Here is a 17,540-nt window from a genome sequence, read left to right as displayed (position 1 = left end):
TTGTGAAGAAAGCTCCTTTTCTCTGGAATTACAGGTTCCACTTTCCCCATAGGTCCTTTGTTTCATACAGAGAACACAGACTTATGGACCTGACACTCTCAGGAGGTTATAGCCATATGTGAATATGTAGTTAGCATCTGGGTAACTCAGTTGGCTTACAAGGGTCCACAAACAGGAGCCAAGTAATTTTTTAAAAAGTGACTAAAAATACAGATTCTGAACAAACACCAACAGAAGCACCATCAGCTTTAAGCTGAACCTTAATTTGGTAAATCCTGAACTGCACTCCAATGTTTTTAAGATTTTTCAAGCAAAGGGAACCATTTTGAACTAAGACTCTGCATTCTTTTAAAACTGCTGGGTTGAACAAAAGTGGAACAAACAAGTTGCCTAATCAAACTTGGTCTACACTAATATTTTGATTCAGGGCATGGCTGCCCCAAAAGCCACTCAGAGGCACTAAATTCAACTTCCCAGAGTGACACATTGACCATCATCTTACAATGTCTGTATGTAACACGAGGCCAGGGTTGGGACGTGAACACAGAGTAGGCTGCCTCTCTCTGTCCTAGGTCCCAAGTACATATTTTCAGGATGTGAAAAGAATTCAATAAAACCACTATTAATTTGGTGAATAAAGACAAGTTCTGAGCTGTCTTTTTCAGATCTTCCTAGTTAGAGCTACGGGACAAATTCTTAAACATATTAGCACTTAGCTTTTGGAGACCAAGGGCTCCTTTGCCTTGCTGCAAAGGGCCATCTCTGGAGAGCTGAACCTCTCCCCACCCTAACAGGAGGTGCTGGTGGGTCTGAGAAGCAGTGGAGAAGTAGGTTTCCAGGCAGAGTAAGAAGGATGCTGTGCCAGGGCTCTGCAAGACAAGAAGCTGGAATGGGGTTTGGTCCTGTGACCCAGGTGGGCAAAGTGGGCAGAAGGTGAAGTTACCAGGGCTAAAGCAGGAACCTCTGCCTACCTGGGACCCAAGGGTGAACTCCTTAATTTTCCATAGTACAGGTGACACAATGTTCTTATTATTTAAATACTGCAGCTCTTCCTTTCTCACATAACCACAGAGGGTCTTTACTCTATCCCTCCTGTCAATGCCTTGGGCTCAGGGCTTTCCACCTGCCATTCATTTCTCACAATATGTCCACAAAGGGGATTCTATAGTTGGCCCTCAGTATCTGTGGGTTCCACATCTGTGGATCCAACCAATGGACGATTGAAAATATTCCACCTCAAACAATAAGAAATAACAATACAAAAAAATACAAATAAAAATATAACAGTGTAACAACTATTGACATAGCCCTGACATTGTATTAGGCATGGCAAGGAATAAAGAGATGATCTGAAGTATACAGGAGAACGTGCATAGGTTATATGAAAATATTATGCCATTCTATGACTTGAGCATCTACAGATTTTGTTATCTGCAGGGAGTGGGGTGGGATTGAGGGTGTCCTGGAACCAATGCCCTGCAGATACTGAGGGATGACTGCATACCCCATTATAGATAAGAAAACTGACTCACGTTAAGTGACTAGCCCATGGTCACATGATGTTCAGGAATAGAACATTTATTAAGTATCTACTTCTAAAATTGTTATCATCTCCCATGTCTGTCATGGAGGGAGTATTGCAAAATGGTTAAGGCTTCACATGGTGGTTTATCTAATACTCTCAATAATTCAATACAATCTAAGTCAGTCAATCATACAATTGAGGAAACTGAGGGTCAGAGCTGGGTTAGTGAGTTGCCTGAGGTCAGAGAGTGGAGCAACTAGGATCTGACCCAGGTCTCTGGCTCCAAATTGCTGCCTTTCTCACTGATATGCTGGGTCAGCTTGCAGAGAAGCTCAACAACTCAGCAATTCCATCCTGAGAGCCATTTCCTGGAGTGAGAGAAAATTTAAACCACTGCAAAAATAAGGTCTGATGCATCTGGCCACTTCAGACTTAGAGATCAATTCCAGGGTAGGCTGATGGGACACACAGCAACAAAATACCACACACCTTGTTTTTAAGCTCCCTTGGCAGGTGGCTTCACATGGACAATTGGTCTTGCCTTTGGCATGCTTCTGGTACAAGTCACTCAATGAAGCTGAAATGGCCTTTAAGACAGGCAGGCAGTTTGAGAAGCTCTGACACAGGGATGTTAGGATTGAGACATCCTGGGATCAGGGCCAAGTAGGGAGGACTTGTGATCCCTGGAAAGGCTATAGCCATGAGCCAATCCCAGATTAACTTCCCCCACCTCAGAGGCCTGGCTTCCACTGCTGGGTTTTTCTGGTTTCCTGCCCATGGAGCCCTAGCACAGCAGCATCCCTCTATACGCTGCCTAGAAGTCTACCCCACCACTCTTCAAACTCTCCAGAGCTTATTACTCAGCAAATTCTGTTGCTCTCACCTGAGTCCCACCTGTGGCCAAGTGGTACTCATGAGTAACCCTGACTCTGACCAACTGGAGTTCAAATTTTTGACTTGTGGTTCTGCCAAGGCCATTGTTATGGCAACTGGAATGTGCTTCTATTGGCACTGCATGGAGGTGAAAGTTGGAGAGAAGGGGAAACAGTCAGTTTTGGACCCTTTCTCTCACTCTTCATAACAATACTGGAAGGTAACATCTGGCATGCTTCCCAGTCTACGTAAGACTGCAGTCAGACCTTCTGTTGAGAGACCAGACATAGCAGCACAGACTCTCACCTTTCCCAGCAGAAATGGGTGCAAACAGCAGATTCTGGGAAGTTCCCTTTGTACTTTTGTGCCCAGTGCCCAAAGAATGATGGAATCTCTATCATTCCAGGAGTGGAGACTTGGGAAGATGTTAGGGATTTCTGAAAAGCAGAGAAATCACATTCAGTGTAATCTAGTTTAAAAATAATAGGCTTGAGCCAGATCCCAATTTGAATCTCAGCTCCATCATTTAGTTTGTGTGATCTTGGTCAAAAGAAATTAGACTTCACTGATCTCTTTAACTCATCTATAAACTAGAGATATTATCTTCCTCATAGGTTCATTGTGAGGATAACCAGATAAAGGTCCTTTCTTCTCTTGCATACTTTTAAGTGTAGCTCTCCTTCTCACAGCCTCCCCAAACCGTAGGTGATTTGTCCAGATGTCCATCACTGGTCCAAGTATATTTGTGAAGTAAAAGATGGCTAGGCCATTCTAGACATTACAAGATGCTAAGAAAGGCAGGCCAGGAGAAAAAACATATATGTAAAACAAATCTGTAAAGATAAGCAGATACAAGACTACAAAGCCCCACAAAGAGGGCAAGCTTTGCCAAATGGGACTTTGGCCCCTTGCAAGATATGCCAGGTCCCGTAGCTATTATATTTTGGCTTATGTGTGTTGGAGTTCGCCTATTTATGGCAACCAACAGACAGTATGTCAAGTACTTTACTTAAGCACCTGCTTCTGTCTCAGGTATTGGACTCATGGGAGCTATTATTTCAAAACCTCTCACTCACAACTTACTGCTATGTGCTTAATTCCTGATGTCACTAATGGAAGCAGATACTCCATGGGACTATCTGAATGATGATGGTTTTAAATTAATCAAATTAGCTACAGTGTTTGATGAATAATTTCTATGGTAACTGCAGATGAAGCTCAAGACAGAACATGCTCTTCTATTTTTCTGTGTAATTCTTCACATTAAATAAATGCCTCCTTGATGAGTGGAGAAAAAATAATTATATTCCATTGAAGCTAAGAAATAAAGCAACCTGTTTATTTTTTAAAAAGATAAACATGGCTGATCTGCACTAATCATAACATTTTGAAGGAAATAAAACAATATTCAACATTTCTAGACTACAAATAAATAATACCCTGTTTTACTTATTCTGTTAACCAAAGATGAAGGTGGAAATGAGAAAATTGAATGCTTATGGACTTAAAGGTATCAGACATGGCATTTGATTTTTGGAAAATGAAGACATAAATGGAAAATGGCTATGGCAATGAACTTAAGAATGACATTTAAAAGTTTTTACACAAACTTTACATACTTGACAGACTAAAACATTTTTCAAGTCCTTAATTATGAGAACAGCAGCAAAATTTAAGACAATTAAAAATCGGCATTTAAGAATCTGCTGTATTATTGTGAATAAATGCAAAACAACTGTATCAGTGAAGCCTGGGAAAATCTCAATTACTATAATATTCGTGCACTGGCTTTACATTTCACTTTTGAATGCGTTCCCTCATCCTGGGTGCAAACTGGGTACCTTCAGATACAACAGCTTGGACGGGGAACAAGATTACGACACATGGCTGTAGAACCAGTCTCGCTGCGTTACAGTTACAGCATATAAACAACTCTGTCTAATAAAAACAGTAAAACCAGGCTCAAGTGCACACCCTGTGTTACAAACACATCACATATCAGGATTATAAATCATAGAAATAAAGACAAATAATGGCATGAAGGGCATGATAGTTTATTTTTAAAAATTGTACCACACTGATCATGATGACCAGCATACACATGATAATGGCTTTTCTCTTGGGTTTAACATTGCAGTAGTTTTGCATACTGCAATGTTTCAATAGGACCAAGAACGTTAGAGAATAAAGATCTTAGATGAAAATGAACACTAATAATTCTAGTGTCCTCCCCCATAGAATTAATGTAAATCCCGTATGAATCAGTGGCATTATAATGTTATGTGGTTATGAAGAATGAAATTTCTCTTAGAAGTAGGCAGCATGAATTTATACTTACATAAGTATAACTTATACTTCCTTGTACTTTCATCTTTAGTTTTTATAATTTAAGCTATGTCCACCCTGGCTAAAGTACAATCATACAATATACCTCAGATAATTTCCATGCTACCATTGCACAAGTTTAGTGATTTTACTATTAAAAAAAAAAAAATCCAACCACCATCAAAATAAAGAGGCAAATAAAAGTAATTTTTAAATCATTTGAAAAGCATGGTGCTTATTTGTCCAATACAGACTCAAACTTAAATGCTATAGTTATAATTTCCAGACTTCCGCAAAATTAACATTTATATATACATATGGGTTTTGTTTATAGAACTGTATTTTGCAATCAACAAGTTTTAGAGACAACATATTTGGTTACAGTTCCACATATCTGTAGTAAAGACAAAGCCACATAATGTTCATGATGTTAAATCTGGCTCTAAGTAACCTAAGGTACAAAATTTTGACCAAATATCAAAATGATAATCTGATCTTAAAAATACAACCCATATGAAACTACTTTTTAGAGAGAAAATGTGCTGTTCAGTAATTATTTCAATAACCTTTTCTGAGTATCTGCAAACTGATCCTTTTCTTTAATCTTTGTGACTCACCAATATTTCAAAGTGACCTCTTCACTTCCATGTTACCATTTCAGTACCCAGGGATTTCTGAGGCAGCATAAGTTTGACTTCATAAAAACAGTAGATACTCTAACAGTGACAATTTTTAAATCTGTAAACTCAATAATCACATTAGTTAGCTCAGCAACTATAAAAACATTGAGATTGGGGCACTGTAAGCCAGAATCTCTTTGTGCTTTTTAAATTAAGCTGCTTTTGAATCTTTTTGGTATTTATCAGCCATCTGTATTTCCCTTATAATAATAAAAGAATACATTTAAAATAAATTTTAAGGTTAAATGTCCTGGGGGGGGGGGGCTCATCAATACCTTTTTTTTTTTTAAAACATAGTATAAATCAATTATCTTTTTCCTTCAGTATTTGGAATAGCAAAAATTATTTCTGGTCCCTCCTTAGATCAATCCACACCACTTTTCATGACATATTAACACTGAAATTTACAGACATCCCTGAAAAGTTTTTAAGTAAACAAGTGAATCACAGTGGAGTCTCAATCAGTTAACAGTGTAGATCCATTTTTTTTCAAAAAACTGAATATTAAAAGAAAATCTTCAACCTAAAAACAAAAACAAAAACAAAACCCTCCTAAGAACTAAAGCCAAGTGTGTGTTGTCAATGATTCGATACTTTTATCCCCTGACTGATTTAGACTCCTCCTCCTCATGTTGTAAGACATGTTTGCTGAAATCTTCACGCCAAGCTTTTGGGACGCCTGGGTGAAGAGGCTATGCTACTGTTGCATCTAAGGGAATAGTGGCACTGTTTCTTCCCTAACAGACTTCATATCCAAAGATGAGCAATGAATCTCACTCCCCTGCATTCACCAGCATCTTATCAGGAGATAATACTTGCTGTGCAAATTGATGACAGCTGATCGTCCCACCCCACCGCCCCCCCCACCCCCTACTGCCAATATAAGGTTATCATCAGTTTGTCATTATATGCACTGGCCTTTCACTCTTTCAATCAGAAAAGCTGTGGCTTACTTTAAAAAGGTGGGGAAGGGACGGGGAGAAATGAAAAACCAAGAGTCTAAAGGCACAAGGTCGCATAGCTGCTCTAGTTGGAGTTTGTAAACAGAGAATAGGTTGAATTTAGGTAATCCCAATCTATGAGAGTAAAAAGGCATCCACAGCAGGCTTGTATCCAGCCAGCTTCTTTGAGACCCTTCATGGGTTTTGAGGTCTACAAAGTATGCACTAAAATACCCATACTTCAAAAAGCAATAAGGCAAATAGTATAATCATTATTCCAAAAGTTACAATGGTAGTGTAGGCATACATAGTATAATTTAGTTACAATGTGTGGTACTGTTTCTATTATATAACCATATTAACTGTTTATTTCCTACATAATTATAAATTCAGCTGGGTTTCAGATGAACACAAAACCGTCCTTGTACCACCACTGATAGCTGGCAATAGCTCTTTGACAGCAGTTTTTATTCTGCTGTAGAAATTATCCTTGAACTGAAAAAGTCCATAATCCAACGTCCAGTCATTAAACACTATCATATTTGTGAAGAGCTTCTTCCAACTTCTGGGTAACTTTTTGGAAAAATATTATTTGTTGTTGTAAGAAATGCTGCATCTGTGATTTAAAGTCTCTCACTCGAATTTGATGGAAGTGGTGAATTTCAGCCAAAGTGGCAAAAGAAATAGTGTTACAGCGATCCTGAATGCCGTCAGCCTTCTGCACCTCCATCTTCCCTTCCTCCACGTGTCGCCTACTCTCCTTGACTTTGGTAAGAGCTCCTGTAGTTAAAAATAACAATTAATTAAAAACCTATATATCCACATATCCCAAGAACATAACTACATATTAAACAGAATCTTGGGCATTATAAATAGTTGCCCAAACTATTTTCAATACCTTTGAAATTTAAAGTGAGGACCATAATTACTCATTTTAAAAAAAGAAGGAATCTGGTAAAGTTTCTGAAAACACTCCCTTTGTTAAAATTTCTCTTCAAAAACTAGTGTTTGTTACATTGACCAAGAATCTGTAGTATCCCATCTCTTCCAAGTAGAGATGCTATACATAACTGATAATAAACTGCAAGGAAATGTCCTTAAAAAGACACAACAAGAAACTGCAGTTTTCACAGGCTCAAAAGGTGTGACATCATTATTTCCACATATATTAAGAGAATTATACTGTTTATAAAAACATCCCATAAAGGATCCAAACCCACTTCCTCAGAAAGTCTCACTAAATAATTCAGACTCTAGAACCAGTCTCTGAAACAAGTTAGTACCAACACAGGTTGTGTTTTGGAATCATGTCACAGTCATGGAGGGTGCTTGGCAATGTTGCCAGTCTACAATTGGAGGTCACCCTCATGAGGGCTGGCCTAGCCCATTATCTTGTCATCCAGAGTAAACACCTAGCTGAAGTGCTCAGCACACAGAAAGTGCCTGGTGAAGGGGTGAATTGCGAACACATGTCTGATTCTGACTTCACGTTGCATCGGGAGACCCACACCTGGAGTACAAGGGCTTTAATAAGAATTTGCCCCTTTTTTGGGACTATAAGGATCGGTGAGTGTTAACTCTGCCCTAATGATGACTTAGGAATGATGCCAGCGGTTCCATAATCTCATGCCTAGAAGTATCAACAGAGGGTGTTGCAGGGGTGGGGGTGAAGGATTGACCACTCCGGCAGGTGCCATACGAACGCAGGCCCTCCCCCGAAAGCACAGTCATACAAAGACACAAAAGTTTGAGGATGTTTAGGGGTAGGAAATAGGCTATTCCTGAGTTCTTAGGAATGAGTAGTAATAAAGCTCAAATCACTTGAACAAAGCCAGCTTAAGAATTCAGATTTCCCGACTGTGCCTAGCACTCATTCCACTAAACCATACTGAAAGGCAAGACAGAACACAGAGACAAACAGCTAGAGTGCCTGGCTTGGCAGTCTGAGAACACAGTACTACTGAGGAGGGAACCAGGAACCTTGAGTAGGAGGAGGTACAGAAACTGAGAGACTTTGTTTCGGAAATGTTGTTTTGCCCAATAGTGAAATATACAAGGGAAGATGCCCTATTTCTAAATTTCTTCAAATCTCCTAAAGAATAATATAATATTAAACAAAACCCTTAAACGTAAAGCAGTATGCTTTTTTGGCATAGTTCAAAGACCTGAGAAATGAAAAAGCACCAACAGCAAATTTCATCCATATATATGTACGTGTAGGTGTGCACATATGTACACATTTATTTTCATTGATTTATTCTAAATGAGACCTTTAAGTGAAAAGCAGCAAAGTCCTGAAACAAGAACACATGTACTGCAGGTGCACAGAGCACACATGCCCCACCCACACCACTTCCACCTAACCCATGGCAGAGAAATGCACTCTGCTAGACAGAGGAAGACCCCTGTCCCAGTTCTACTAAGAAGCCATCACTCTGAAAATAGGGCCCTTTAAACATTTCTACTGTGGCTGACAGTATCAGCAAAGCACTAACATTTGCCTGCTTGAAGAGAAAGACATCTCCCCAACATAAAAAATTAATAATAATTTATTGCAAAACATTTATCTTTGTTATATTTGTACAGGTTTCACATTTCATATACAGAAATTGAAGTTGAAAAGACCAGGAGGGCCGGGCGCGGTGGCTCACGCCTGTAATCCTAAGACTTTGGGAAGCTGAGGTGGGTGGATCACCTGAGGTCAGGAGATCGAGACCAGCCTGGCCAATATGGTGAAACCCTGTCTCTACTAAAAATACAAAAATTAGCCGGGCGTGGTGGCGGGCACCTGTAATCCCAGCTACTCGGGAGGTTGGGGCAGGAGAATCGCTTGAAGCCGGAAGGCAGAGGTTGCATTGCGCCGAGATTGCGCCACCGTACTCCAGCCTGGGCAACAAGAGCAAAACTCTGTCTCAAAAAAAGAGAGAGAGAAAAAAAAGAAAAGACCAGGAAAGTGTAACAGGTAAAACTAAAGGAAAAAAAAATTCAGAAAGACTGAGAATGTGTAGCGATAAAATACATGTTTTATAATGATAAAGAGAATAGGAAATTAAAAGAGAAAAATCTCAAGTGATTTGACTATATTTTCATCTGATTTCAATCCAAGGTACTGGAGGAAGCCAGTCCCATGTTCAAATGCTAAGGACCAGTACGCAGGATCCTTCCCTGCTCAGATCCTGACCTGTCTTAACAGTTGTTGCCTGCACTGGTAATATTCTGCAAGTATTACTTGCTCTAATTACTAGAGCCCAGCTTTTCATCATAGAGAACAGAGTCCAGTATAGAGAAGCTCTGAAACCTGGCCTTGAATTGGGTGATTGTCAACTAAGTTGCAGCTTGTCAAACTCCAAATTAGTTCACCATATTTTGACAAACTGCACTGTGTTATATAGAATTACAGATGTCCATCCGTAACAACCAATTTAAAAATCAACAAGTCCAGGGCTTGCCACGGTGGCTTATGCCTAAAATCCCGGCAATTTGGGAGGCTGAGGCAGGGGGATGGGTTGAGGTCAGGAGTTTGAGACCAGCCTGGGCAACATGGTGAAACCCCATCCCTATGAAAAATACAAAAAATTAGCCAGTCATGGCAGTGCATTTCTATAGTCTCAGCTACTCAGGAGGCTGAGGAGGGAGGATCATCTGAGTCCAGGAGGTTGAGGCTGCAATGAGCCGTGATCACAGCACTGCACCTCCAGCCTGCTAGGTGACAGAGTAAAACCCTATCTCAAAGAAGAAAAAAAAAAAGAACAAGTCTAAAGTTTTTACAACTTATTAAATCAGCATACATTTTCCAAAGTCTCAGATACAGCAATAAGTATTAACATCTCTTTGAGGCCCCAGGATCTGCCAGCATGTAATATCTTCAAGCTTCCTAAGCATACATACTAGAGGAGCCAAGAAGAATTTGGGACTCATTTTTAGCCAGGTGTGGTGGTGGGCGCCTGTAATCCCAAGTACCCGGGAGGCTGAGGCAGGAGAATCACTTCAACCCGGGAGGCGGAGGTTGCAGTGAGCCGAAATCGCACCATTGCACTCCAGCCCGGGCAACAAGAGCGAAACTCCATCTCAAGAAAACAAAACAAAACAAAACAAACAAAAAACAAGAAAACAACAAAACAAAACAAAACAAAAAAACCCAAAGACTCATTTTTTCCCAAGTATGAATTTATTAAGTGAATAACACAAAATGTTGCTATTTTTAAAAGTCCCCAAAAGGTTGGGCTCCAGGGTGAGAATTTTAACGTGAACATTTATGGAAAGGCTGGCATGTATAGAGCACACTGATAGAACAGGGAGATTCAAACAGGAGACACACCACAAAGCACCGTCAGGGCAGGCACACTACCCTGACGCAAAGTGAAATAGGTCCATGAAGCACAATTCTGCATGGGAGTTGAATATGGCTTTCTCCAAGATAACGTGACCAATGTGACAACGGAAAATGCTCAGAGGGCCTGCTACATGCCCAGCACTGCACTATGGATGGTGGCAGGGTGGAGGGCAGGGAATAGAATATCTGAACAGTAAATGGTAGCTGCTAGAAATAGTAATAACATATGCTAGGCACTTTCCATCTACTGTTTCTAATCTTCACTACAACTTTACAACAGACATTACTCCTAGTTTTACTACAAGGAAATTGAGGAAGTTACTCAACATCTTTGAGCCTGACAGTCATCCAGGTAACCCAGCAGGAGGCTGAGATGGGATCTGAATGCATAACTGACTTCAAAGCAAGCACTACAACTATTTAGAAGAGAAACTGTTAGCCAGGTGTGGTGACGCACACCTGTACTCCCAGCTACTCAGGAGGCTGAGGCGGGAGAGTCCAGGAATTCCAGGCTGCAATGAGCTATGATCGCACCACTGCACTCCAGCCTGCGTAATAAAGTGAGACCCTGTCTAAAAAATTAAAAAATAAAAACTATATAAAATGGTCAATGAAGGTATTAAATAGCATACTTTAAATGTACAAATTTAAAGAGTAAGGAGAGCTACGTGTAATCAAGGAAGATTATGTCTCCATAAAATTGTACCCACAAATGTAGAACAAGTTTAAAAAACAAAAATAACTTCCTTTAACTGAAATGTAACTAAATTGATTTTTTCCCAGATCCACCTTCAAAAGAAAGTTAAAAGATGATTAGCAATAAAACAAGTTGATAGTAATATACTTAAAACAAATTAAAAATCGAGAGTTCCTGATTATATCCTGAATTGAAGCGAATGGCTGTTAATGTTCAGAATGACAATGCCAAGGGTCTTCCAACATCTGAAGCCAAATAAAAAAAGTTGACTCTTATAAAATACTTTGCAAAGTTTTAAAATATATACATCTTTTCCCAAGAAAGTAATTTGTTTTTTAAAAAATTCATCTCACAACTTTCCAATTAGTTTTTTCTGTACACCTTTTAACAAACAGTAAAGGTATCAGTGCTTTCCTCCCTATGAAAACGGTAAGCTAATTATGGAAGTCAATTGACTAGTTCTGACTAGAAGTAAACAGAAAAAAAAATATGACATCTTTTAAACAGCTCAAGTGATCCACAGACAGAGAGCATGAGTGTTTAACACTTGGGGACTAACACGCAGAACCACTTTCTGGGGTTCCCAGGAAGCTTCCCTCTACCCGCCTCTGCCCACTGAGCTCCTAAGCTCTGAGTTCACTAGAAAAGAAAGTGGAAACATATTTTTCCAATAGAAACAATATTACAAGTGTTGGCTAGATGTGAGTGAAATAGTATTATTATTAGAAGTAGAATCTGGGTTTTGTTACAAATGATTGGGTTCTTACAGTTGATCTGACACTGCTCAAACTGGGAATTATGTGTACATATTTTCAGGCTTCACAATTATCTTCATATTCAAAATTTTAAATATCACAAGAAAGGCAGAGAGCAAAATTTTCAGCTCTAGCATGTTGGAAGCGGAAACTACTGGAGCAGAGTTAGATCATCATAGACTTGCTACTTCTAGGATAGCTTTAGAAATTAAGTAATTTGTAGCTGCCTAAGAAACAACTGCAGAGGTACAATACAACCAGCTGCAGAGCTGTAACAAAGTATGACAGCATTTTTAAAGCATTCTCATGGCTGTACTGCATTGTTTTTTAACCAAACCCGAGGAGTGTAAATGAAAACTAAAAATGTTGCCCAGAATCTAAATAACACAAGGACTACACATTTTTCATGATGGAATCAATATGAAAACAGGCAATAGCATTGAAAGCTCTGCTTTTTAAGTGGCTAATTTAGGAGGAACATGCCCCCTTGCCAGCCCCCTCCCCTCATAAACATCATATTGCCACCACTCTGCTTTCAAAACAGAAGACGGAAATGAAAGAATGGGGGAGCAATTATATAATGAAGTTTAAGGTCAAAAACATCACTGTTAGAACAAACAAAAGATCCCACAGTACTCATAGTTAGGGGAACAGCTTTAAGATGAAAGAAAATAATAAACAGGTATAATCAGAGGGAAAAACATTTTCCAACGACAATGTCACTGTAAACTGAAACTGCTTCATTAGTTAGCTGCATCTGGAATAGCATGAGCATATTACGATTTTATTATGAAAAGAAAGTGCAGGTGCACATTAAATAGAGATTTAAAAAGCGGCTGACAATACAGACCAGTGTGAATATACTCTTTAAAAAACCTAACAATTAAGTAGTACCGTTTCCAATTCAGAAGAAAACACTATTCATACATGAAGTAGTGCAGCCTCTCCAAGTTACACAACTGAAAAGAAATTTTCTTCTCTCTCTCTCTCTTTATTTAATTTAAACTGTAGAGACAAGGTTTCACCATGTTGTCCAGGCCGGTCTCCAACTCCTGAGCTCAAGTGATCCGCCCGCCTCAGCCTCCCAAACTGCTGGGATTATAAGCATAAGCTGCAGCGCCCAGCCTGAAAAATACATCTCAAAAGAAGACATTTATGCAGCTGACAGACACATGAAGAAATGTTCATCATCACTGGCCATCAGAGAAATGCAAATCAAAACCACAATGAGATATCATCTCACACCAGTTACAATGGCAATCATTAGAAAATCAGGAAACAACAGGTGCTGGAGAGGATGTGGAGAAATAGGAACACTTTTACACTGTTGGTAGGACTGTAAACTAGTTCAACTATTGTGGAAGACAGTGTGGCAATTCCTCAAGGATCTAGAACTAGAAATACCATTTGACCCAGCCATCCCATTACTGGGTATATATCCAAAGGATTATAAATCATGCTACTATGAAGACACATACACACGTATGTTTATTGCGGCACTGTTCACAACAGCAAAGACTTGGAACCAACCCAAATGACCATCAATGATAGACTGGATTAAGAAAATGTGGCACACATACACCATGGAATACTATGCAGCCATAAAAAATGATGAGTTCACGTCCTTTGTAGGGACATGGATGAAGCTGGAAACCATCATTCTGAGCAAACTACTGCAAGGACAGAAAACCAAACACTGCGTGTTCTCACTCATAGGTGGAATTGAACAATGAGAACACTTGGACACAGGAAGGGGAACATCACACACCGGGGCCTGTCGTGGGGTTGGGGGAGGGGGGAGGGATAGCATTAGGAGATATACGTAATGTAAATGACTAGTTAATGGGTGCAGCACACCAACATGGCGCATGTATACATATGTAACAAACCTGCACGCTGTGCACATGTACCCTAGAACTTAAAGTATAATAAAAAAAAAATGAATTTGAAGTACAGGAAAAATAATTATTTAAAGTGAGGCAATCGATTTCAACCACATCCCAATACAGTGATACCGAACAGGCAAAAGGAGCCCAGAGTGCCGCCTAGGCTGAGCCTCCAACACACTGCAGCTATTTCTTCTTCAGGGGATCTCTGTGAAGGAGGCAGGAAGGATCCTAGAGTAAGCTCTAGGTTTACCTGTTGAGAGTGAAGTTTTGGTTGAGAGTTCAACTTAATTACTGAATTAGTTTGGTGGATTACTCGAATTCTTCCACAGGACAGAAAGTGCACTCAGGAACTAATAACCCTGAGGTCTAATTCCTAAATGAGAGGCAGGAGCCCAAGGGCACCTTCCCACACTCCAGTCCTGGAGATGCCCTCTGGGGAAGGCAAGGCAGAGCTACCTCCCAGGTAAGAAGGGCAGAGCTGGCTCTCAAATTTTTGTTTTTAATAAAGCTAAAAAGGTCTTAGAAGAGTTTTTATACAAGTCTCTCCATTCTACAAACAAGAGGGTGAGCTACTTGTTCAAAGTCCCACAGCTAATTCATGGCAAAGACCCCACCTCCACATGCCTGCCAGCCCTGGCACGTCCCATTCTCCCTTCCAAGCAGGGCATCCTCATTCAGGAGACCTATTACCCTCTTTGTGGGCACAGATTGAGTGGATTAGTGTATTGAGGCCTGAGATGGAGACTTGACCCTACTACATTGTTGAAAAGGGTCCTTTCCTTTCTATGTTTTGAGAGTTAAAAGGAAAATTAAACCAATATTTTTACTTTGCTTTAGGATTTGTTATTAACAAAACCTCCTAGATTCCCACGCTGATTCTGTACCTGGAAAATTCCCAACAGGGCTCATTTTCATATCAGTGCAATTTCCCAAGCTCAGAGAAAGGTACTTTGCCCCACTTCTCCATCACCAGTCCTAGCTCCAGAGAAATCGAATGTCCTAAATTCACTTCTATCCCCTCCTACCTTTTTTCTTTGTATCTAACCAATGTAAGCCATCTCGCAGTTCTAAAGGATGCTCAGGCTGAAAAGACCAAAGCAAGAAATAACTATGTCTTTGTTTATAATACATATATTCTCAATTTTAGAGGAATTATGTTACTCATGTTTGCAATGAATATAAAACAATGAAAACAAAAGAATTTAATCATGTGACAAGGTTCATTAATATTACCTTAAAAGGCTCAAATTTTTAAAAATCATTTATAAATTATGAATTAGAAATCAGCACCATGTTCAAAAGCATCACAGTATTTACACAGCATATCATTAAACTATTTCCATCAGTAAACGCTAACACTTAGGATTTCAATGCCAATTTTTTTCTAGAATGACAGTATGAGAGTAGTGAATCTCTCGAGTCATGTAGCCCATGAGCACATATTAAGAACACACTGCAAGCTGAAACTCAACCAGCACACTAGCAGATGTACTTGCACTGCACTAAACTTCTCTGTTCCATGTTCCTCTGCTTCTCATTTGCAGGGAGAACAACTTTCCTGGAAATTTCTGACCCATCAAAGTGAGACAGAGGGAAAAAAAAAACAAAACAAAAAAGCAAATCCTCATACGCTGTACTGCCTCAGGCATTTTAACCAGAACTTTCCTGGAAACTTCTGACCCATCAAAGTGAGACAGGGGGAAAAAAAAAGAAAGAAAGAAAAAAAAGCCCTCATACACTGTACTGCCTCAGCCATTTTAACCAGGCAAGGCCCTGCCCTCCCTTTAAAGAAGCTGTCTGGCCTCCTTACCGTTTTCCCTCTTTCTGCCTGCCCCCAAACTCAGGTCCCCACAGGGCTTGCCATGGCTCCAAGAGCTCCCAGTCCAACCCCATCCAGTCCTTGTACCTGAACTTTGCCTTCCTTTCCTCAATCCAATCTCTTATTCTCAGTATGTTTTGTCTCTTCTAAGACTAATTATACAAAAGGCCCAGTCACTAAGCAACAGGAATCCAAAGGCTACATTTTCTCCCTTAAAAAAAAAAAAAAGAAAAAAGAAAGCACCTTATTTAATTTTGAAATCATGAATGTGCCAAAAACATTAACTCGATTTCTGTCTTCCAGGGGCCCTTCCCCAGGAAACAGAAGCCATGGTGTACGGGAAAGAACAGGAGACAGGCTGAAGGGCAGCAGGGACAGCTGCTTAGAAGTCGCTCAAGACTGGACTCGGCCTGTTTTTCTTCATTCCCTGGCACACGTAACATGCTGAAAGAAAATGCTAATTTGGTCAGCGTGGCCTGTTGGGTTCTTATCCTCTCATTGCTGGGATCCACACCCTGGCCTTCCCTACTAACTCCCCATTAACTTCTTCCCCTCCCCTTTCCTTCCTCCCTGTTGGTCTCCACCTACTTGTTGATTACCCTTCCCCCTCTCTGCTCTAATATTTACTTTTTCATATTGTTTTGAGCAAAATGTCTCAAAAAGCAAAGGCCAGCATCCACTTAAAATAGAGAACTAGGGCAGCCGTCCAGCCACTTGATCATCACAGAGAAGCGCCTGCACTGTGCACACCTGTGCTCTGCACTTCGCATGTCTCATTTTCTTCTCTTTAACCGTGAAATAAAAGTAATCATTGCCACCATTTTCAGAGGCAGAAAGTGAAACTCAGAGAAACTAAATAATTTTACTCAGTGTCCAGCTGCATGTGAACCTGGGTCTGCCCAACTCAGGCAATTCCCTTGTATGTGGCCCAAGGGGGGATACCCTACCCATGGCGATCGCAAAGCCCCATAGATCGGCCTCAAAGCACAGCACACTACACCAGTACCCAACGCCTCCTAGGAGCCTATGCCACCAACATAGGGATGAGCAACCCACAAACCACCTCCAGACCCTAAATACTATTCCTGCATGGATTCATACTAAGTGGGTTCCAGGTTTAGACCACATTAATAAACCCTGGAGGGTACAAAATTAATACTGAACTCAAGTCAGGGAAAGCAATTTTCTGAATGGACTAATGAAGGTCCCTAAAGCTAATAACTATCAAAATTCAAAGGTAATTTAAAATTCACTTTTTAATTCATAAATATAATAAATGACAAAGAGAACTTTTGAACCATTTTGAAAAGGAGGGAAGAGGATCAAGACAAGCATAGTCAACTGCAAAAAGAAAAAAACCTGGTCACTTGATGGAAAAAAAATCACTTAAAGAATTCAGGCCTCTAAGCTTGATTTCATCCTGAAAATATCATTAGTCTGTTTCAGGTAAAAGCATTGTTATAATATTCTAATTAAGTAGTTCTTATAGCTTCATTCAGCAATCACCTAATGTCTAAAGGCAGAATGACATTCAGTTTGAATACAAATATTCACTTGCGTATAAATACCTTAAAAGATGATTATTTTAGTTACTATGCATATATAGTCATACAGTTTACCTCATTCCAAAAATGAAGAGAGAAATCACATGATTGTACCTCTTGTGGTTTATTTGGTAAAACTGTTTCTTGCTGGTAATTTTA

At 39.8% G+C, this 17,540-nt stretch overlaps 1 protein-coding gene across 6 annotated transcripts in view; it reads right to left on the bottom strand.

Annotated features, from left to right (window-relative positions):
• SNX18 (sorting nexin 18) overlaps nt 1–17,540 on the bottom strand; it is a 130,247-nt gene that overhangs the window by 97,703 nt on the left and 15,004 nt on the right. For 3 of the 6 annotated variants that reach the window (NM_001145427.2, XM_047416679.1, NM_001102575.2), the window contains exon 2: nt 3,717–7,124. The exons of the other annotated variants lie outside the window; for them this stretch is intronic. In NM_001145427.2, coding sequence (NP_001138899.1) covers nt 7,123–7,124 — 2 coding nt within the window. In that variant the 3' untranslated portion in view covers nt 3,717–7,122. Of the gene's footprint in view, nt 1–3,716; nt 7,125–17,540 lie in introns of those variants that run through there. 6 annotated transcript variants of the gene reach the window in all.

This window comes from Homo sapiens, chromosome 5 (genome assembly GCF_000001405.40).
Source record: "Homo sapiens chromosome 5, GRCh38.p14 Primary Assembly".
Taxonomy (NCBI): domain Eukaryota; kingdom Metazoa; phylum Chordata; class Mammalia; order Primates; family Hominidae; genus Homo; species Homo sapiens.
This window is presented reverse-complemented; position numbering and strand designations above follow the sequence as displayed.